The sequence below is a fragment of the Homo sapiens genome, chromosome 9 (genome assembly GCF_000001405.40).
Source record: "Homo sapiens chromosome 9, GRCh38.p14 Primary Assembly".
Lineage (NCBI taxonomy): Eukaryota > Metazoa > Chordata > Mammalia > Primates > Hominidae > Homo > Homo sapiens.
This window is the reverse complement of record NC_000009.12, coordinates 78235505-78258669: the sequence shown is the minus strand read 5'-3', so window position 1 is coordinate 78258669 and position 23165 is coordinate 78235505. Positions and strand designations below refer to the sequence as shown.

General features: G+C 38.3%; 1 protein-coding gene across 9 annotated transcripts in view, besides 2 other annotated features; it reads right to left on the bottom strand.

The window, feature by feature from the left end:
• The window catches only part of CEP78 (centrosomal protein 78), a 43616-nt gene extending 21021 nt beyond the window's left edge, over positions 1 to 22595 (bottom strand). For 4 of the 9 annotated variants that reach the window (NM_001349839.2, NM_001349840.2, NM_001098802.3 and 1 more), the window contains exons 1-11: positions 22067 to 22595; positions 18475 to 18647; positions 18306 to 18378; positions 16871 to 16974; positions 15034 to 15208; positions 11888 to 12001; positions 10315 to 10379; positions 9797 to 9908; positions 6627 to 6765; positions 5393 to 5438; positions 3706 to 3834 (exon numbers count right to left, since the gene is read on the bottom strand). In NM_001349839.2, coding sequence (NP_001336768.1) covers positions 3706 to 3834; positions 5393 to 5438; positions 6627 to 6765; positions 9797 to 9908; positions 10315 to 10379; positions 11888 to 12001; positions 15034 to 15208; positions 16871 to 16974; positions 18306 to 18378; positions 18475 to 18647; positions 22067 to 22319 — 1383 coding nt within the window. In that variant the 5' untranslated portion in view covers positions 22320 to 22595. Of the gene's footprint in view, positions 1 to 3705; positions 3835 to 5392; positions 5439 to 6626; positions 6766 to 8164; positions 8425 to 9796; positions 9909 to 10314; positions 10380 to 11887; positions 12002 to 15033; positions 15209 to 16870; positions 16975 to 18305; positions 18379 to 18474; positions 18648 to 22066 lie in introns of those variants that run through there. The other 5 variants (NM_001330691.3, NM_001330693.3, NM_001349838.2 and 2 more) reach the window with 2 other exon arrangements.
• Positions 22197 to 22866: an enhancer, noted in NCBI's record as "H3K27ac hESC enhancer chr9:80850720-80851389 (GRCh37/hg19 assembly coordinates)". NCBI's record gives its function as "activates a minimal SCP1, AML or CMV promoter by ChIP-STARR-seq in naive H9 embryonic stem cells {active_cell/tissue: H9 hESC(naive)}" and the evidence as "EXISTENCE:reporter gene assay evidence [ECO:0000049][PMID:30033119]".
• Positions 22202 to 22571: a silencer, noted in NCBI's record as "silent region_19966". NCBI's record gives its function as "represses an Ori minimal core promoter by ATAC-STARR-seq in GM12878 lymphoblastoid cells {active_cell/tissue: GM12878}" and the evidence as "EXISTENCE:reporter gene assay evidence [ECO:0000049][PMID:35858748]".

Here is a 23165-nt window from a genome sequence, read left to right as displayed (position 1 = left end):
ATAACGTATTAGGTAACTACATGACCGGATTTTAGACATTATTTACTAACTTCCTGCTTTACTAAGTAAGAGTTTGGTTCATTCTTACTTATTTACTTACTTATAGCCACTCCTCTCAATAAAGTTGTTATCACCATTAGTTTTTCCATTGGTCATGATCTCTTCAACTTCTAGTGATATACATTACTTAAAAATTTAAATTGTTTATCAACTCTAAATTCTCTCAATGCCCTGCTTTGTAAAATAGGGACATGTATACTTTTGTCCCTTCTTTCCACCTGTGTCCACCTTCCAAACTTAGCTTTTACACTGTTAAAGTTAATATTTATATTCTGTTCTATATGCAGAGCTGTTTGTTTTTTGAGAGACAGATAGATCAGTGTTTAAGAGAACAGGCAGAAAGCTTAAGCTCAAATCCCTGATCCAACTCTAAATTTAAGTACAGCTTGGGCTTACTTAAATTTAGCTTCTTTTCTGAAAAGTAGGACTAATAGTAACACCTACCACAGGTTATTCTGAGGATCAAATGAATTAATATAAGCAAAACACTTAGAACAGTGTCCAATACGTGCTAAATCTGATACAAGCTAGTTATTTTTGCTATCACATGCAAATTGATAATCAAAGCTACAGACCACGGCAGTATTTCCATTACTACGATTAAATTAATACTGCCTACTGCAGAGTTATATTGTAACTCTTGTGTATATACAGGTTACACCGCCTTCTATACAGTTTCAGTGCCACAGCCCTTGTATAGAGTGACCGCCTATCTTAAGTTGCCCTGGACTGTTCCAGTTTACAACCCTTGTCTTGATGTTAGTGTTAACAGCACCTGCTTACACTATTGAAAAGTGTTCTGGTTTGTACAACAAATTAGATAGGTGGTCACCGACTGCTGTGCCACTGAAAAGGGCGGACAAGCTCAAGTGGATTTTTTTCCCTTTTGTACATCAGTGGTAGCTCAAAAATCTGCCATAGTTTAATTTGTTTTATGTTCATGCCAACAGAACTTTCTCCTCTGGAGTTTGATTCCCTCCTTCCCTCTTTTCTCCTCTCTCTTTCCCCCTCCCTCATTCTAACAGTGCCTAATACATAGTAACATGCTTCAAGGATTTTTTAAGCTCTCAGTCACACAACCAATGGAAGCCTCTCAAATCCAGACCCGCTGCTCTCCACACTGAAACCACTGATCCCTGATATCCTATTATCTTCCTTCTTGGTTTATACCCTCATTTTGCGGGACTATGTTTTCAAATAACAAGAAAAAGTATAGCGCAGGAGGTCCAAAATGTCCTATTCAGCCCCCACTTAGATTGACAGTTTGGCTGGATGGGAATCTCCAGGTTGTCAATTATTTTAAAACTTTGGAGGTATCTTTCTAATTCCAGGATCCATGGTAGCTGATGAGAAGTATAATAAAGTCTGGTTTTTATGGTTTTTAAGTGACCGGTATTTTTCTCTTGGGATTTCTTTCTTTCCTCAGTATCTTGAAATTTTACAGTGAAGACTGTCTACTTACATGTGTCTATCTAAGGTAAACTTTCTTATAGTTTTTTTTTTTGTAATTTCCTTCCATCCATTTTTTTCTGTCCTCTGAGATTTCTTACAGTAACATGTTAGACCTCCTAGATGCAACCTCACTAGCATATGATTTCTGTTGTATTTTCCATTCCTGCCTTTCTGTTCTATCTACTGAGAAATTTCCTTAATTCCTACTGAATTTATTTCAACCATTATAATTTCCAAGAGACCACCCTTGCTTTCTGCTATTCCTTTTTAAACAACACCCTATTTCTTTTTTACAGGCACTGTATCTTTCTTTTGTACTTGTGCTTAACAAACCTAAGGATGTTAAGTAGAGTTTTTTTCTTAAAGTATTTTTGTTCTTTTAATCAGCTCTGGTCCTATCAGGACATATTTTTCATCTTTTATTTTCCCTGTCAAGTTGTGAGTTTTACTCAACTCTCAGGTGAACCATGGTTATTTTCTATTTAAGAATAAGGCTACTTGGGAGGCTGAGGCAGGAGAATGGCGTGAACCCGGAAGGCGGAGCTTGCAGTGAGCCGAGATCCCGCCACTGCATTCCAGCCTGGGCGACAGAGCGAGACTCCATCTCAAAAAAAAAAAAAAAAAAAAAAAAAATAAGGGAGCAGAGGATCACTGGGAGCTGATGACTAGCTTCTGTTATGCATGAAGAAGTGGGTAGCCAGTATGGCAGGATATTCTCAGCTACCCTTTTCTAGGGTGCAAAATCCACACTATCTACCCTAGTTCTCCCCAGTTACTTTACTGTTTTTCAAAGCCAAATGATCTCATTTCAGGAGAGTGAAGGTAAGGCTAGGAGTCAACTCTTCCATATACAAACTGTCAAGGAGCTCCCTCCATGTTAGTCACATTTCTAGCTCCCTTCCTTTTTCCTATATGCATATCTGTGTATGGAGCTGTTTCTGGAGTTAGATTAGATACCCTCTGAGCTGTAGGCTTCCCCTGTGTATATTCTAGGCGATGGTTTTCCTCTGTTCTACTGCATCGGTTTCATACTCATTTCCATCTGTCATCTCTATTTCAAAAATATGTTGAAATCTCTTCAATTATCTTGATTATTGTAGGCTTACGTATGTTAGAAATTTTGATAATATCGTTTTATGGAGTTCTTAAAATAGAAAAGAGCTAAGAGAATTCTCAGTGCATCTTGAATCAGAAATTCCCAAGTTGTATTTCCTAACCTTCTTGGTCTCCCCAATGGCTATAATCACTTTTAGAATAAAATTTCCTAATCCCCTGGTGAAGAAAATAAATACAACACATTTAAAACAATAATGAACATGAATCAGACATTCTAGGATTTTGTTTTTCCTCTGGAACTTAGTAATAAACCACTTAGGTGCTACAAACAAAAGGTGCTCATTTATAATAGGGACAATTCTACATTATCTATAGATTTTTCCCTCTAATATTCTATCATTTTTGTAATTATCTTAAAATTTCTCTATATAAATATCACTAATTTTAATTTAAAAAATGAAAATCAGGCTTCATTTTTTGAAAATCAAAAAGTGATTTCCATAGTCACATAAAAATAAGATAACTGCCCTTCCACCATGTGAGGACATGGTGAAAAGCCATCTATGAACCAGAAAGCAGGCCCTCGCCAGACACCAAATCTGCCTGAGCCTTGATCTTGGACTCTCCTGCCTCCAGAACTGTGAGACATACATTCCTGTTGTTTATAAGCTACATGTAAGTATATAAAAAAAGGATAATTACTTCTATATTTGTAAGTTTCATATAAAAGAAAATTGTATTAATTTTTAAAAATTAATTGTGGACTTCCTAGCACACACAAAAAGATAAGGCCTCCCAAAGAGCCCTGAATCAGCTGGTTACATTCATTCAGTGCTTAATTTCTTTGAGTTTATCTTATGATTATTAAGGCCTTCCCTAAATCTAATTAATATTCTATGATTCTAAGGAAAGGAAAATATATTACTGATGACATGTTTCAATTTTTATTTCTTAGAGTGCAGACGTCCTCCCTTTTACCTTGTTCTAAGATAAAGAACCATTCAAGGGATATGAGATAGAAGGAAGGCGAAAACAGAATTCCCATGCAAGCTGTCCAGTTCATAATCAAGCTTTCACCAAAAACTAACTAGAGTTTGAAATGATCTTCTCCATATCTTTAAAGTGATAGCTTTGTACCTGTAATGCTTCTTGTTCTATACTAGTTTTCTCAGGCACTTCATGAACACTCTCTGAAGAATCATCAACCTCTTCAACTTCAGAGGATGAAGGACTCTCTACTGTCACAGTCACAGGAAAACCTGGTTGCTTAAAAAAAGAGGACAAGATTGTATAATAATATAAACCGAATACCAAATACTAAAGGACATCTAATCAAAGTGATCTTTCTGAAGTGTTAAGTCATTCTCTATAAATGTCTATCACTACTCCTTAGTCTAACACAATCAATAACAAAGTAAAAAGACACTAACTTATTCTTGCTATGTCACTGAAATAATTCTCTCATATAAGGTTTATAATTAATACTGGAATCGCCCATATTTTTTTTTTCTTTTTTACATAAAATCTTTCCGAAAATAACCCATATTATTTTATTACACTTTTTTCACATAAACCAAGCAAGGAGGCAGGATAAACATTTTTTCTCAGATCAACTGCAGATGAGAAATTTATTCTCTACCATCACACACAGAGTCTTAAAGACAGGACGATTTTTAGGAGAAAAAATTCATCCGTGGAGGCCTCACAAAGAATTGGAAGAATAATTTAAATTGTGAATAATAAACACTAGAATGGCCTGTAATCCCAGCACTATGGGAGGCCAAGGCAGGAGTACTGCTTAAGGTCAGAAGTTCGAGACCAGCCTGAGCAACATAGCAAGACCCTGTCTCTACAAAATAAAAACTAGAATTAAAAAAAAAATTAACCAAATACATGCACACAACTAAAACTGAGACATCAAAAACCTCATCTTTTCCTCATTCTTAAGCCAAAACTACTGTAATAACAACGCAATTCTCCTGTCAAGTTTCAATGCCACTGGAATGTTGTCCAATACGTTTCCAAATATTTCAAAATTGACTGTGTCACAATCCCATAAAAAGTCCACAGATCAAAAAGAAAAGTGCCGGGATACATAACTGTACAGAAGAGAAGTCATGAGAATGCAGTATCAACTACAAGCATAAATCCTGCAGTACCTGAAAATCCTAGACGGTAGAATGAGATGCACGCCCCTACTTTTGGCTATGCGAGGGGCAGTACGGACACACAGGTGCTCCTTCATCTCAGTAGTGCTATCTTTTACAGAGAAATTACGGTCTCTAAAAACAACTGAAAAGGAAAATCTGATACTCTGACAGAATTCACTTGCTCTAATACCATGATGCAGAATGACAGGGAATGTGTTTGATCCTGACAAGGGAGAAAGAAAAGCTCTGAGAAAGCAGAGGCTTTAGGACTGGTTGCTTTGTTTTAGCTTTAGAATCTGGAAATATATATATACATATAAAATATGTATCCCCCAAGAACATTTCTTTTAAACTTAAGGACATTCTTGACTATGATAGCTCCATGTGTCGGGTGAGAAATGGTGGTCAAATTTGTTTTGCTGGAGGCAACAGCTGATTTGTGGACCCAGAGAAATGACTTCCTGTCTACACAGATGAAACCACAAGGCCTCCATTGTGTGACATATCCACACGCCTATACTGTGGCACCGGGAGAACCCAGAAAATTTTTAAAGAATTTACTTCAGGGAGGGAAATGTTTCTTACGACTCTATTCAATTTAAAGAGCACAGAGAATGATCTTCCACCCTTCCCATTCCAATCCCCTACATATTATAAACATGGTAACTACGTACCTGCAACTGATTACATATATCACGTGTTTTGATTAATGGGAAACCCCTAAAAAGATATCGATAAATTAAGTTATATTTTGATGTAAATACACCACCAGTTAACACTAGGTAATAACACTTGCTAGTATTATGTATACTATCCATACATAACTGTGCATAGAGATAAATCACTTCCAAATAAGGGCCTGGAAAGCTCTGCTATGGAGAAAATTGAACAATTTAGCAGAACGGCTTTGGGATAAGACTCTGAAGATGCAGGTACTTCTTATGTTTAGGATGGTTCAGATTTCTAATCTAACTTCTTTAACTGGTGATATTAATTGTTCTCTAATTCACAACTCCTTGTGACCAAGATGGGACTTGAAATTAGTAAGTATCTCAAGAAGATATGAAACTGTGAAGTTATTAAATGGAAGTGTAAAGACTGGGGCCTCAGCACTATAGTTTATGCAATAATAATTCACATTACCAGTTGTGAAATAAGTATAGTCATCAGTTGCCTAACAAAGATTATACATATTCAATTTAATCTGAGCAATTGAACAGATATTTTACATAGCACCTATTTCCAGTCCTATTTAAATTCAATCCTCTTTGTTTTCTTAAGCAATTGTTAATCTCCAATTTCTTGAATACTAAAAGTCAGTCATTCGAAAATAATTTATAGTAATCTAATTCATTTATTAAGCATAAAATTATAGTACAACATTTTTAAAAGACTTTTCTGACAAAAATTACTATGAATAGCTATCACCTAGGTAACTGGCTAAAACTAGTTATATCTGGTTTGATTCACTAAAATGAGTTAGGCCAGTTGGCTGAGTTAGATTAAGTCTAATCAACACTTCCTATCATTTTGCATTGAACAATTTCCTATGCTTTACAATGCCCTTTCCCCAGTCTTAAATATCCAAATTCCTATTTCTGCCCTATAGGACTTGGTTTAACTGCACATACTTTAAATGAAACCTTTTCTCACCTGCACAATTGGAGATAATTTCAGTTTCCTCTGGACTCCCACAGGGATACAGCTTGCTGTGACACTTAATAACTTGAAACCCTACTTAGGATTATTTTTTGTTTTTCTTCCTTAAAGGATTCATGAGGCAGAAGCCACATGAGTCATTTTTACCCTACAGACATAAGCAGAGAACTCTCACATAATAGAAGCTCCAAAATAAAGAATTTTGAATCCCATTTTTATCCTAAAAGATAGGAAATAAAAATACCCTACCTGTGTCTTTTTGCACGTTCTGCAGTACGCCACGGCAAGAAACCAGACACACCAGGTGGAAGAGGTGCGGGCGCATAATATTCTTTACCAAGGGAGTGTTTTCTGCCACTACTTACAGGTTTCTTTGTAGCCAATCCTACTTGAGAAGTGTTAAAAAGAAAGAATCAAGATGCACTAAAGGTCTACAGATGAATAGGCACATGTGCATACTCTTAAAAGAATACAAATGGGCACCTGACAATGACACCAAGTCCATTAAATCAGGATCAATTTGTAAATACCTTTTTACACAGGCCAGTAATAAATATAAGAATAAATATATTTTTAATATACTTAAATATAAGTAATAAATATATAAAAATATAAGTTGTCTAGAGTAACAAGTTATCACTTTAACTAAAATATAAGTTGAATATATGAGACATGCAGAGCACGCAAAGGTAAATAAAACATGTAACCCAAAGAATGAAAGATTATACGTGATACATTTCATTATGCATTATGCAGAAATTTTAAGTTATTAAATCTCAGAATATTTTTGGCATTCCTGAATCTCAAGGACAGAACATAGATACACCCATGACTCCTACCAAACAGAACCTTCTGAATTGGAAAAAAATTTCAATTTGAGATTAATTTTATCATGTAAAAGGTATTCAAGTTGTAAGACTAAAGGTAGCTGGATTAATTTTATCATGTAAAAACTATCCAAGTTGTAAGACTGAAGGTAGCTGGGTAGTAGGTGAGCCAATGTTGCCGCCTATAAGTCTGTCCACCTTCAGTGTTCATTTGCTTTTACAGAACACAAAGAAAACAAATGAAACCTACTGGATAATAGAACGAAGTATAAAGTCTTATCCTACATTTCAGTTTAAAGAGTCAAGTTTTTTTAAAGAAATATTTGGTAGTAAAAGCTAGACCTACCTATTAATATTAATAAAATTCACACTTAAATATATAATTGTTTCTGATATCACTGAGAACAAATAATATAACTTTATTAAAACGGTTATATTTATCCTTCCAATCTATTTTACTACGTAAGATCTACTTTAGCAGCTTTAGGACAGCATCTACAAGAACATGTATTTGGTAATACAGGACAAATATTTCCCGTGGTGTAACTTATTGATAATTACCACATTGTGCTGTGCAATTTCTCTGGACAAATTTATACACGTCTTATAAATATATAGGAGCTCAGTTCATTGTGTGCTGTTTTTAATTATCCTAAAAAAAAGTTACTGTGTATTGTTTGTAGTATGTGTAGAAAGTAATGCAAATATAAATTTTTTTTTTCTTTGGAGACAAGAGTCTCGCTCTGTCGCCCAGGCTGGAGTGCAGTGGCACAATCTTAGCTCACTGCAACCTCCGCCTCCCAGGTCCAAGCAATTCTTCTGCCTTAGCCTTTCGAGGAGCTTGGATTACAGGTGCACGCCGCCACGCCCGGCTAATTTTTTGTATTTTAGTAGAGACAGGGTTTTACTGTGTTGCCCAGGCTGGTCTCCAACTCCTGAGCTCAGGCAATCCACCCGCCTCGGCCTCCCAAAGTGCTGGGATTACAGGCGTGAGCCACCGTGCCCGGCCGCAAATATAAATTTTAATTAAAACCAAACTAATTTACTTATCTTGTTAGATGAAAAAAATTATAAAGTTTCCTATCTTCTGTCTGCACACGTAATTGCAATATGAATGTGACATAATTTACATAAATTATATAACCCCTATACTCACTGACACCTAACTATTAAATATAAAGCCAGACACTGATTTGGCTTACCTCTGTGTCTCCAAATTACTGAGGCAAATACAAAAAAAGCCCAAGAAATAAAGTTACTCTTAAAATAGCTCAGTGAGCTTGTAAACTTCAGTCACATTTCCAATTTCTTTAATCATGCTAAGAAAAAAGATTTTTGTTTTTTATTCTCATTCAATGATGTCCAATTATATACCACTAGCTACTAAAATTATAGAATTTCTAATGTTTTATATTTTATGTTAAATTGTTTTATATCTTAGCCATTTTTAAGTGTACAGTTCAGTGATATTAAGTCAAGTGATATCCTTCAAAAATTTAAAGTAGCATCCAAATAAAAGATTATCTGGTGTTAATTGTTTGGTGATCTTAATGTACAGGGTATGAACTAAAGTCACCACAAACCTTTTTCTGGGAAACTGGCAGATTATAAACATAAAAACATTAATTTTTTTCTCTGTAGTAGTCTTCATGGTTTTACTGTTTCAAAATTCAAAGTTACTTACAAGAAAAGGTCACTTTCACATTAGATTTGGCTTAACTTATTCCACTGTCACTCATTCTTATCAGTAAAAAAAGGCTACTTATGACTAAAGATAATGTGTTCTACAAAAGTTAAAGACTCTTTAAAAAAAAAAAGAAAATATCAGTAGAACTAGATTATACCAAATTTATGTATTCAGGAGAATGTAAAATTTATGCCATTAGCTGATAAACAGTTTATAAAGTCTTTTTTCATTATTCTTGGTCACAAAATTATAGACAATTTCAAAATTCTAGACTATTATTTGGCAGATTAAATAAACCATAAATAGCAAACATTTAGGGAATGTTTGTCTAAAATGTTCCATCTCTGGGTAATAAACTTACCTGCAGTATTGTTTTATAAGGATTACATATATTTTAAGGTTATTTCATCATTGAAAGAAGCAAGGTGCTACCTAATTCAACAACTTTGGGTAAGAATTTGCAAGGAAGGAGGAGGAAACAAGGGAAAAAAAATGGAACTGGGAAGAAATTTTGTTTTCTATCGTATGAAAGGATAATTCTTCATTAACAACAAAATCATACAAAAGCACTGCTAAAACTGTCATCAAAGTGCATCCCAAATTTCAATTGCAAAGTATCAAAAGTAATCATGAATCAGAAAACATATCCAAAATGATGAATATTGTATGAAAAACAAATAAGGGTAATTTTTTAAATGGAAGCACTAGCATCCCTTTCCTAATGATTCATTTACTATTTCTACATTCCATAAATTCTCATAATCTTATCAGAACAATTACAGACCTCATAATATGCACGGAGTCAATATTGGTTGTTACTGTCAATATCATACAATGAGAAGAGATTTTAATTTTAACACACTAGAACACTAGTAGCATTAAAAAGCCAAGACAGAAAAGGTTACCAATTCTAATAGTAGCTTTTCCTTTGTGACCACTTCCTAGAATTATAGTTCTCCTTTTCTGTTTAGCAGTTTTGGATGGTTCCTTCACTGATGGAGAAGTTATCCACTGGTACTAAAAGAGACAGAATAAACACTATATTTCAGTTACAGATCATTTATGAGGGCTACATCTTAAATGGAAATTGTTAAGATACTCTATGTTAATAAAAGGTTTGCAATCAGCAGTTCTGGGACCCAAAATTAAAGAATCATACGGTATTTACAAAAACAGAAAAGACATTTGATTTGACTGTAAATTTAAGATGGCAGAAAAGTGCCTTAATAGTTTCATTTTATTAAAAACAGACGAAAAGCTGGGCACAACGATATATACCTACAGTCCTAGCTACCTAGGAAGCTGGGAAGGGGGAAGATCACTGGAGCTCAGAAGTTTGAGGCCAGGCTGGGCAGTACAGTGAGATCCCAGAAGAAAAGCAATTAAATAAGAATTCTTTCTGGAGAAATAAAACATGATATACCTCTGATTTGGCACTCCTTCCATTCTGGAGGACTTTTTTGATAACTGCTTTCATCATAGAATGATCTAAAGTAAAATAAAAATTGAAATTATAGTAATTATTTCCCAATGAGTGGCTATTCCCATTTAAAAACAAAAGCCAACCAATTATTGCTTTTTCCCATGAAATTGAATATGAATTCCACATAATGTAATTAAATACCTTTTCCCCCTTTGAGTATTCTAACTTCTTCCTCAAAAACAAAGTATTCCTACACACATATTGTCCCTGATGGCTACTATTTTGGCAGCAGCAAAGATCAAATGTAAACACTTTGGAACTAAAGTAGCTTTAGATACCTCTAAATAGGAAATCAAAAGCCTAAACACTGTCCAGATACTTAGATGCTTAAAAGGCACCTAATATACCCAAATCAAAGTCATGATGCGCCCCCAAAGCTGCTCTTCTCCACAGCCTCCTTTTCTCTATAAACAGTACCACCCAGTTGTATGCAAAATCACCTAGGACTTTTTAAAAAAATTACTATTTCCTTTATACCCCACAAGTCTTGTTAGCTACACCTTGTTTCAACCACTTTTTACCACCTCCAACCTTCCACCCTAAGTGAAGCCATAGCCATCTCTAACTTGAACCAGTGTGAGTCTCCTAACTGGCCTCCCTCTTTCCCTTTTATAGCCCCCTACAAGTGTATTCTCCACACCAAGTCATCTGATTGAATTACTACTTGGAATATAACCCTTACCAGCTCAAAATCCTCCCATGGTTTTCAGCTCATTTAGAATTATCTAAGTCCTTACCGTGACCTTCAAACCTTACAAGATCAGGCCCCTGGCTAGTTGTCTGACTTTGTAGCATACCAGTCTCTTCATCACTCAGTGCCCCAACCATATTGGCCTTCTTGCTTTTCCTTAAATACTCCATCCACCCTGCCACCTATGTAACTACATATTCATTGCTTCCTCATCCTGGAAGGTACTTTATCTGCATCTTCCACGGCTTGTTCCCCTCCTAATCAGGTCTCTGTTCAAATGTCCCTTTTTCAGTGAAGCTGTCCCCTAAAAAACCTATCTAATATAGTCCCACCTGCCCCCATCTGTCTTCTTACCTTACGGTATTTTTGCACTTCCTACTATCTAAATTACATTACGTATAACTCCCCAACTAGAATGTAAGCTCTATGAGACCAAGAATTTGTCTAGCTGGTTTACTGCTGTATGTTTAGTGCTTAAACCAGTATCTAGCAGATAGAAGTATTCAAAAATTACTTGTCAAATCAACAAATGAATGAAATACTATTTCCAAGAATTCAGAAGTTCCACAAGAAGAAAATAATGCACTTGGTGGAAGCAGATTTATTATCTAGGTTCACTCCTATTCAGAGTAGCAGCCAAGAGCAATTTAAGTACAACTCTTTTCATCAGTAAATTATCTACTAAAAACATAAGAAAGTGCAAGATTACAAAAGTGTAAGATTAGGGAAGGAAACACATTAAGTTTTCAAAACTGTCAATACATGAGAAATTCTTTTTCTTTTGCTATTTGTTAGTCAATAAAAAATATTGTAGCGACATACCAATGAGTGGATTTTTTCTTATATCCAGAACGACCAGAGTTGTATTGGTTTCAAGGGCCTCTAGCAAAGCCTTTGCTCCTTCATTGGTGAGGCCGCACTGTTGCAGGTCAAGAGCTTTCGATGAAAGACAAAGGGTCACTTGCTAATTCTATACAGATTTTTTGTTTGTTTGTTTGTTTTTTTGAGACGGAGTCTCACTCTGTCACCCAGGCTGGAGTGCAGTGGCACTATCTCCGCTCACTGCAAGCTCTGCCTCCCAGGTTCACGCCATTCTCCTGCCTCAGCCACCTGAGTAGCTGGGACTACAGGCGCCCGCCACCACGCATGGCTAATTTTTTTGTATTTTTAGTAGAGACAGGGTTTCACCGTGTTAGCCAGGATGGTCTGGATCTCCTGACCTTGTGATCTGCCCACCTCGGCCTCCCAAAGTGCTGGGATTACAGGCGTGAGCCACCTCGCCCGGCCAATTCTATACAGATTTAACATACAGACAACTCCCACTTATTCATGCCTGGAAGACTCCTGCCCAAGACTACTCATGGCCAGTTTTTAATCTTGGGTATTGAAAAAATAAAAATAGAAAACCATATGCACACACATAATACAAAAAAGAAACCCTCTTCATAGATGTGTCATGATTACCCTCCCTTTAGTACCAATAAATTACCCAACATATTTTACAATTACAGAGTTGAAAAATAACTCTACATAAAACATCACAGAATGAATATTTGTTCATAATTAACAAGGATGCTAGTGGCAGTGTAAACATCACAGGCAAAAACTGGGTGGAGCTCAGAAATTGCACTAGATTCATCATCAAATTCAAATTCAAATTCCAAGTGACTCTCAAAAAATTACATTAAAAAAGTGAAAAGAAAATACAAAAATGTAAACTGTTAGTTTTAGAATAAAAATGACAAAGAAAGAACTCTAAGGAGATAGAAATAATGAATCCAAAGAATGTGTGAATAGAGATTATAGAGATTATATACTAAAAACCTATCATGAAAAAATAATGGTCAAGAACTCTCTCTCAAGTAAAAGGTCAAAGAACTAAACAAATGCTCATGAATACTAGTAATACTGAGGCTGAACAATCTACTCATTTCAACTCAAAAGGATTATCACAAAAGTACAGGCATAAAAAAAGATTACATCAGAGCAAAAGCACGTGTATACCATTACATTAAAATAACTGAAGTCTTTCAGAATCTCATTTTATGGACTACATGTCTGTATTCCCCAAAAATGTATATTGAAACCCTAATCCACAACAGGGTAGTAGTATTAGGAATTGGGGCCTTTGAGAGGTAATTAGGTTTAGTTGAGGTCTTGAGAGTGGAGCCATCATGGGATTAGTGTCCTTACAAGAAAAAAAAGAGACTAGAGTTCTCTCTCGCCACCATTTAAGGATATAAAAGCCTTCCATAAGCTAGGGAGAATGCCCTCACCTGACACCTATCTACTGGCATCTGGATCTTGGGCTTCTCGGACTCCAGAACTGTGAGAAATGAATGTCTTCTCTTTAAGCCACCCAGAATATAATTCTGTTATATGCTTCTATAATGGAGTTATATAATATATACTATATATAATATAGAATATTCTATGAAGCCCTAACTGACTAAGACACCACAAGACACACAGAAATAAGTCAGATATATGGATCTGATAGAATATGGTAAAACCTTTACAAACTCTTGCTGCAGAAGAATGAGCATAGGATGTAATTATCCACCTAGCCAAATTAATAAAAATAGCCAGTAAATCTCACTAGTAAATCAAATGAATATAAACTAAAACAATTAAATGTGATTATGCTTCTATCAGATTGGCGAAGGTCACATTTTAAAAAAACCTTTAAAATGTGCAGACTCTGTTAACACAGCAACTCTCCTTCTAAGAATTTACCAGAAGGAAATTATAAGAGACACGGGCAACAACACGTATCAAAGTACTGTTTATAACAATGAAAAACTGGAAATAGCTTATATATCTAATAGGAACGGATAAGCCAAGTGTACTATTGCATATTAACATAATGGAACCCTGAAGAGTCACTAAAAATGACATGGTAAATGTAAACTTACTGATTTAAGATATGCTAGACTGAGTGAAAAAAGCTGTAAAATTCAGAGACCAATCCCATTTGCATCAAAAAAGAAAAAGCAGGGGAGTTCTCATTTTTGTAAAGTTTAAGGTTTTAAAATAGACACAATCCAGCATTTATGAGACTATAATATGGCACAGCATTTCTGAAAGGCAATTTGGTGACATGCATCAAAAGTCTTTAAGAAATACATTATACTGAGTTACTCAACTTTAGTAATTTATCCTACAGGAGTAACTTCAGGCTGGGCACAGTGGCTCATGCCTGGAATCCCAGCACTTTGGGAGGCCAAGGCAAGAGAACTGTTTGGGCCCAGGAGTTTGAAACTAGCCTGGGCAACACAGCAAGACCCTGTCTCCACAAAAATTAGCCTGGCATGGTGGTGTGCACCTGTAGTGCCAGCTACTCGGAGGGTATAGTGGGAGGATACTTGAGCCAGGAGTTTAAGGCTACAGCGCGGTATGATTACACCATTGCACTCCAGCCTGGGCAACAGAGAAAGACCCTGTCTCAAAAAAAAAAAAAAAAAAAAAAAGTAACTTCAATGGACACAGAGATGTATACATAAGGAGTTTACTACAGAGTTGTTTATAACAGGGGAAAAGCACAAACTGCCTAAATATCAAATAGTAGGGAATTAAACTATTATGCCTCAATATAATAGAGTACTACATGATACATCATTAAATAAAAAAAGCAGGGTTACAAAATGGTAAGTGCACTATAGTTCTGTTCTTGTAACTCTAAGCACACAAATGTATCTGCAGGAAAAAACAATACTGAAAGTGTATACACCAAAATGAACAGTTTATCTCTAGGCATTGAGATTATATGTACTTTTTTTTTTTTTGTTACTTGGTATTTTCTATAAAGAATATATATAACTTTTATAAAGGCTTAAAAACAAAATAAAACCTATTAGAAAAAAGAGGCTTTTTAAAAAACCTTCGGACAACATTACTGTGCCAAGAGTTAAGCATATTTAATATCAAAAAATTCAATATTTTCCACCTTACAAGTTCATTTAACTTACCTCTCAGCCATAAATCCTCACTGAGAGAGTCTGCAAAAGCACATGCACCTAGGTCACCAATAAGTGTGTTGCAATTCAGTGTGATACGTCTTAAGCCAGCCATACAGTCAAGATCAGGTCTCCTATAGCGAAGACTCTCAGCCCAGGTTTCTTCATGCCTTCTCATGGTCTGATACTTCAAAGATTTAATAAGATGAAATTAATACACTTGGATAAAGAGATAGGAACACTAAAAGGAACTAAGTACAGCTGATTACATCAGAGCTTTACACACACACCAGGTACATATGCCAGGTGGGTTAATCTGACAGACTGATTAAATAGTAGATTTTGAGTAAGGAGTCCAGTGACCCAGATACTAGTCTGTCACTGACTAGCTATGTGACCCTAACCACTAATGACCTGTTACTGATTGCTTTATGTAAACTGACAACTTAGTTAACTTCTAAGAATTTTATTTTCTTTATATGCCAAGTGAAGGTACTGGTTCTAAATTCTATCATTGCTGAGCCTCTAAATCATATCATTCTGTCCTCCAGTGGTCTCTAAACACTTGACTGGACATCCCACAAGTAAACATTTAACATGTAAGTTATTTATTAATAAACTATATACAGGAATTTCTATATACATATTTTATGTATATTACAAATCAAACAGAAACAATAGGTATTTTTTAAATGATACAAAAATATAGAGGTTAATATTTTCTTCTCCTAACCCAAGGGATCTCACATATTTCTTAGGGTATGCACACCAAATTTAGAGGCCTAGAATATACAAAGCAAGGTTGATATGCCTTCGGAAATTGGTGGTTTGAGTTTTAACCACAGGTATTATCTTACAGACATAATCACTTCTCTTTATCCATAAAGTAAATTTCGGTAACAGGAAACACTGATTTTAAGAGAAAAAAAAATCTCATTACATTCTGAAACAAAAGATTCAAAGCTCCTATGACTCCGTCAAATGAAAACTGTCAGTGTCATTTGCTATTCATAATAACTGTATAAAAGCAATAAGAGGAAATAACAGCAAACACTTAGATAGCCAGGCACTATTTTATACACATTAGTTCATTAAATCCTAACAATGACAGACACAGTAGGTTTTCTTATTATACACATTTTATGGATAAGAAAACTGAGGAACAGAGCGGTTAACTAATTTGCCCATGGTCACAAGTTATTAAATGGGAGAGAGCTCGGGTTTTAGCCTAGGCCATCTGGCTTCAGAATCCACATGAGTAACCATTATCTATCCCACGGAGAGTGGGCTTACGCTGTAAAGGCCCCAAAATAAACATTTTCAGCTTTGTGGGTCATATAGTTTCTTTTGCAACTACTCAACTCTCCTAGTGTAGGGTGTAGCAATAGTTAATATGTAAACAAATGGGCATGACTATGTTTCAAAACTTTATTTACAAAAATAGGTGATAGGCTAGATTTGGTCCACAGGCCATAGTTTGACTACCCCGATCTACACCATCAAATTACTAAAAAGGCTTCATGTCACATTATTATGTAATTTTATCCTAAATACAGTAGTAATAACCACTATAAAGTTGTTAAGGCACCTTTAAAATTACTGTTTTACAAACTGTATTTACAGAAAAATCTAATTATTATATTTTAGGTCTTCTATTTCTAAGATTAAGCATACTACCTTTAATAAATGGTAGAACCCCAGGCTGAAAATTGGTCACATTCTTTAAACAAAACTAAAACTGCAATGCCCATATGTATCAAAAGACAAAAATAACTGCTGTCTTGTATCAAAATATTAACGTGTGGCAATCATATAACACATTTTCATGAAAGTTGGAACATAAAGTTACCTTTAAGATCTTGGCCATGTGATCTGCTCCCTGCCATGTCAGATTACATCCTGTGAAGTTGACTGTCTTAAGAGTGATAGAGCTCTTTATACCTTGACAAATAACTAAAATGGAAAAAAAAACCACATACAATAAGATGAAGAGCATATACAACCTAGTCAGTCTTGATTTATTTGCTCTTCTTATATCTTTTCTATTTTATAGTTGTATTCTTAAAATCACTATTTACAATCTACCTAAGCAACTGATTGGTACATTCTAAAATAAGTCAGTAACAAAGAGTTACTCCAGTTTATTGCAATAGTTCAATTCTATTTAGATGCCAAAATTGAATAGACTGAATATTGCAACCTTACTCCAGACCACAGTAAAGTTCTATATACTTTTTGAGACATCTGAAAGAAAAACATAAAAAAAATAAAACTCTTCCTATTTTCATTTCCAAGAGCAGACCTCAATCTGTTATTAACCAACAATTCAGTGTCAACTATAAACCCAGAATTTTATTAGGTGTTATACTAGAGCACCTAATGTACTAGAACAATAGAAGACAGAGGCCTTTTAACTCTCTGCTCCCTCAAATTGAAATGCAGGTTTCCTTACCCCTCCAGACCACTATTTCACACAACGAACACAAGACTTCAGGATCCCAACGAACAGTCACCTTCTGTGACTATTTCCATGATCCCAACCCTTTCCCCCCAAGTCTGTCAGCCTTTTATATGCTCCTATACAGCACTTTGCTTATATTTCCTATTTTGGAACATACCACAGTGCATTAAAATTGATTGTATATATGTTTTAATTATTTAAAGTAATGATGATTTTTTTTTTTTTGAGACGGAGTCTTGCTCTATCGCCCAGGCTAGAGTGCAGTGGTGTGATCTTGGCTCACTGCAACCTCTGCCTCCCAGGTTCACACCATTCTCCTGCCTCAGCCTCCTGAGTGGCTGGGACTATAGGCACCCGCCACCATGCCTGGTGAGTTTTTTTGTATTTTTTTAGTAGAGATGGGGTTTCACCATGTTAGCCAGGACAGTCTCAATCTCCTGACCTCATGATCCGCCCACGTCGGCCTCCCAAATTGCTGGGATCACAGGCGTGAGCCACCACGCCCGGCCTCTTTACATTTTGCTATTTCCTTCCCATAAATATTTCTTGAAGAAAAACTCTAAAAGATGAACAAACACAAAAAACAGAGAATACCAGATGGTATATATTTGTGTGGTCTGTGGTTTAACACAAACTTAAGTAAAGTTAGTTCAGATTACATTCAGCATGCCAAGCTTTCATGGTAGACTTGAGACTGGACCAAGGTTTGAACAAGCATATGAGGCAGTAGTAAGAAAAAAGGTACAGACAGGAATTAACATGGCATGTAGGGAAACATGAAACCAGCCTGATAGGACAAGAGTTAAATGAGATTTAAACTCACTTTCTAAACCTCCATCTCCAATTGGACAATTTGCAAGAGACAGGTGCACCAAAGAAGCCGATTTATTCAATCCCTTTAATGAGGGGGAAAAGTTAAAAATGTTATTGAGGTTTTTTTTCCTCTAAAAGCAACTATCAAATGTCTACAAGCCAAATGAGACAAAGCTTACCTTTGCTAGAATAGTTAAATCCCTCTCTCTCAGAATTAGTCCATTTAGCTCCAGGTTCTTTAGCACACTTGATATACTTAAACAGCCTTTAAGAGCTTTACACAACTGGAAGGTCACATCTTTGTATCTTATCGCAGGAACACGACTTCTGCAAAATTTATTCATGTCAGAACCTAAAACAAAGATAAAAGAAAGTTAGTGACTTCAATCATACAATGTATCATTCAAAAACATCTGCTCTGTGCTAAGACATAGAAATGAGCCATGTCCTTTAAAGTCCTCTTAAGCACAGACACATGTAAACTCAAGCCACATGGGATATACCAAACTATGTACATAGAGGTTCTTATGGAAGCAAAGAAGTTGCACTGAAAGGATGGCTTCAAGATAATCCTGAAGCTGAATCTAGAAAGATGAGAATGACAACATGGGGTGAGAGTGGGTGATGCATTAACCAGAGGGAGCAGCGAGAGCAAAGGCATCTAAGCCTGACACCTGCCGGGCACTGGAAAACTGCAGGTGGATCCGACTAAAGCCCAGAGCCGTAGCCGGAAGAGTCAGAAATTTACAAAGAGGCAGGGAGAAGCAAGCCTAGGAGAGTTCACTTTTACCTCACAGGTGATGAGGATCAGGGCTACCACTGACACATTAAGGATACCCCTAGCAGGTTAGAAAAATGTGCCTCACTGTTGGAGTATCAAAGAGATAAAGGAAATGAGAAAAAGCTCCCCTTCCTCAAGACCAACTAACCCCAGGAGGCTTAACAGAACACAGCTGAGATTTCAGTGCCTCTGTGCAGAACACAAGCAACCAATACACACTGGTCCTGCGTGGGCATGCCACTTTAAGCATGTCTTTTCCTTTTTGAAAGATCACTTGAACCAAAGTAGGCAGATGAACTGAGAAAAACCAAGCTCAACGGCAGCAAAACTAGCTAGGAGCGTCTGCAATAGTCCAGGCAAAATGTAATTAAGGATGGACAAGCAATATGTAGGAGGTTAAAATCTACAACCTAGACCCACTAGATGCAAGAGATAAAGAAGGTTCAGTGAAGAATATCTGACGAGAATGGTCTGTAATACATTTTTCTTACATTCAGTGCAAAATATTAGGCAAGATCTAGTAGGCTAGCCTTGACTCTGAGGTCCCTCCCATCTTTAATTTATTTTGGTTCCTGGTTTTTTTATTTTTTGTAGGGGGAGGGTCATGGACAGGGTCTTGCTCTGTCACCCAGGCTGGAGTACAGTGGCAAAATCATGGCTCACTGCAGCCTCAACCTCCCGGGCTCAAGAGATCCACCAAGCCCAGCTAATATTTTTTACTTTTTGTAGAGACAGGAGTCTCACTATGTTGCCCAGGCCAGTCACAAACTCCTGGCCTCCCAAAGTGTTAGGATTACCAGTGTGAGCCACCGCACCTGGCCTGGTTCCTGATATTATTTTGGTTAACTAAAGTCCATTCAGAGGTACAGAACAGTTCCTGCACCTGAATGAGATGTAGAGAATAATCTGACTTATTTTCAGAAGCAGATGTGTTGAACTGTCCTTGCAGAAGAGATGGTGCTAACCCCAGAGCCTAGAAAAGGGCCGGGCACACGACAAGTGGTCAGGTTGTTTTTAAATACATCAATAATCATTTCCTCTCCCAGATCGCACACCCTCCCTCTTTCTCTCAGCTTATAAACATGTTCACGTCCATATCCACTTAAAAAACACCTTTCAGACCTACAATTATCTGGATCTTCTTTGTGGGTAATCTAGGTCCCTCCCATGCCTTCAAATACCTGTCCTCCCACAAAGCCTAAATCTTGGGCCCAGATCTGCCTAGCAGACACATTTGGATGCCCCACAGGCCCCTCTTAAAACATTAAAGACAAACTGAGATCCTCCTCCCACCCCCAATCTCATTCGAGTTAACTCGGCTGTGTCATGGAAAGACGCTGCTGTGTTTCACTTACAGACGCTGCTGTAAACTGTCACCCATACTTGCTGCCCCCCTCTTCTAACTAGTCACCACGCCCATCCATTCTCTTAGATATCTGAAATCCTACCCTTCTTTTTTTTTTTTTTTGAGACAGAGTTTTGCTCTTGTTGCCCAGGCTGGAGTGCAACGGTGCAATCTCAGCTCACTGCGACCTCCACCTTCTGGGTTCAAGCAACTCTCGTGCCTCAGCCTCCCAAGTAGCTGGGATTACAGGTGCCCGCCACCACGCCCGGCTAATTTTTTTTTTTTTTTTTTTTGTATTTTTAGTACAGATGGGGTTTCACCATGTTGGTGAGCCTGGTCTCGAACTCCTGACCTCAGGTGATCCACACCCCCCCGCCTTGGCCTCCCAAAGTGCTGGGATTACAGGCATAAGCCACGGTGCCCGGCCCCAGCCCTTCTTTTCTATACCTTAGTTTGGGCCATTAGATTACAATTCACCATCCTTCCAATTTTAATTTGTCTTCCATATGGAGGCTAGACTGAGCTCCTACGGAAATTCCATCTCATCATCCTACAGCGGTTTCCCAAAACCTTCAGGATAAACATCCAACTCTATGACAGGACAAACGAGGACCCTCCCTGTTTGGCCCCCACAAGGTTTCCAGCCTCAACTCTCTCTGCTCTTTCTCAAACCTAAATTCCAGTCCTGTAACTCAGCTTGCATACTCTCTCCTATTTCCAAAACTTTTGCACAAACTGTTCCTTCCTGTTACCTAGCTAGCGTCTATAGGAAGCTGCCTCCATTATGTAGAAAATGCTAAGTGCTCAAAGGAATAACAGCATTTTGTCATATATCATAGTTGACCTAACATATTTTCCGAATAATCAGAGAGTCTGGATCCCTAATTATACCACTATACATTTACAAATGGCTTGTATTTGTAAAGCACTTTACAAACTTCTTATATACACCTTAAAAAATGAAGACAGGCCGGGCGCGGTGGCTCATGCCTGTAATCCCAGCACTTTGGAAGGCCGAAGCGGGCGGATCACCTGAGGTCAGGAGTTCGAGACCAGCCTGGCTAACATGGTGAAACCCCATCTCTACTAAAAATACAAAAATTAGCCGGGCATGGTGGCGCGCGCCTGTAATCCCAGCTACTCGGGAGGTTGAGGCAGGAGAATCACTTGAACCCGGGAGGCGGAGGTTGCAGTGAGCCGAGATCTTGCCACTGCATTCCAGCCTGGGCGACAGAGTGAAACAGTGTCTCAAAAAAAAAAAAAAAAAAAAAAAAAAAAAGACAAAGGCTGACATGTATTAATTTCCTACCTGCTTAGTTCTCTATCAGGCAAATCAAAGTCATTCAATAAAATAGGTAACATCTGTCAAATGTTTAATGATGTCCCAAACTGTGCTAAGAGCTCTGCAGGCATCAGCAGCGCAGGGAATCCTTGCGAAGGCGCACATAACCTGGGTCTCGTTATTAAGCCCATGTTACGGATGAGCACACTGAAGCCCTAGAGACCTTAAGCCACTCACCTAGCTCGTGAGTGTCCAGGCCGCACACCCCTTCTATTGCACACATACCCCGACAATGGACACCACTCACCTAAAAACCCACTTCGCCGCACCGACTGAGGGGCCCTGGAGGCGGGAACTACAAACCTGTGTCCCCCAGCCAGGGCTGGAAGAAGCTCTTGATGGAGACCAAGGGCAGGTCTTTATTGATCTTGAGGGTGCTCAGCAGAGGCGCCCAGTCCACCCCGCGGAGGCGGTCGGCGTTGAAATCCAGCACGCCCTCCCGGAGACAGGCGCGCACGGCGGGCAGCGGCACCGAGTTCTGCAGCGCGCACAGGTACTCGTAGTGGGAGAAGAAGTCCGCCGCGCTGTCGCGGCGCAGCTTCACGGAGTCGATCATGGCCCGAGGGCGGCCTCGGGGGATGCCCGCCGCGGAGACGCCGCCCGCGCCCACCCAAGAACGCTGAGTCGCAACCCGGCCGCTCCGGCACCCACGGCCAGGCGATAGCGGCAGCCCCGCACCGGGCTCAGGAGCGGTGATTCGGTCGGAAGACGCAAGGCCAGAGCCCCAAGCTAGGCCGGCCCCTCAACGCCCCACTCCCGCGCTGCCTCCCGCCCTGCGGCCCAAGCAGTTGGCGCCCGCCTCATAGTCCTCTGAGGCGCCGGGATTCAAGCCGGTGGGCGGTGCCGTGGAACGGTGCGCCAAGACGTCAACGTGCTCGCTGTGCGTCGGCACGCAGGTCCCGCCTCCTGAGGACGGGTGAGTTCGCTGCTACCTGAGATAGTGGTCGGGAGAGTTTGAGGGTTTGCGAAAGAGTTTACTGATCGATCCGAATAAAAGTGAAATGTGTGGTCGGGCGCGGTGGCCCACGCCTGTAATCCCAGCACTGTGTGAGGCGGGGGCGAGCGGATCACCTGGGGTCAGGAGTTCGAGACCAGCCTGGCCAACATGGCGAAACCCCGTCTCAATTAAAAATACAAACATTAGCCGGGCATGGTGGCGGGCGCCTGTAATCCCAGCTACTCGCCTGTAATCCCAGCTGAGGAAGGAAAATCGCTAGAACCCGGGAGGCGGAGGCTGCAGTGAGCCGAGATCTTGCCATTGCACTCCAGCCTGGGCGACAAGAGCGAAACTCCGTCTCAAAAAAAGAAAGAAAATAAAAAGTGAAATGTGGATGTAACAACGCACTTTTAAAAAAAGTCTAAACATCTGAGGAATGTGTCTGTGCTTGCAGTGTCCAGCCAG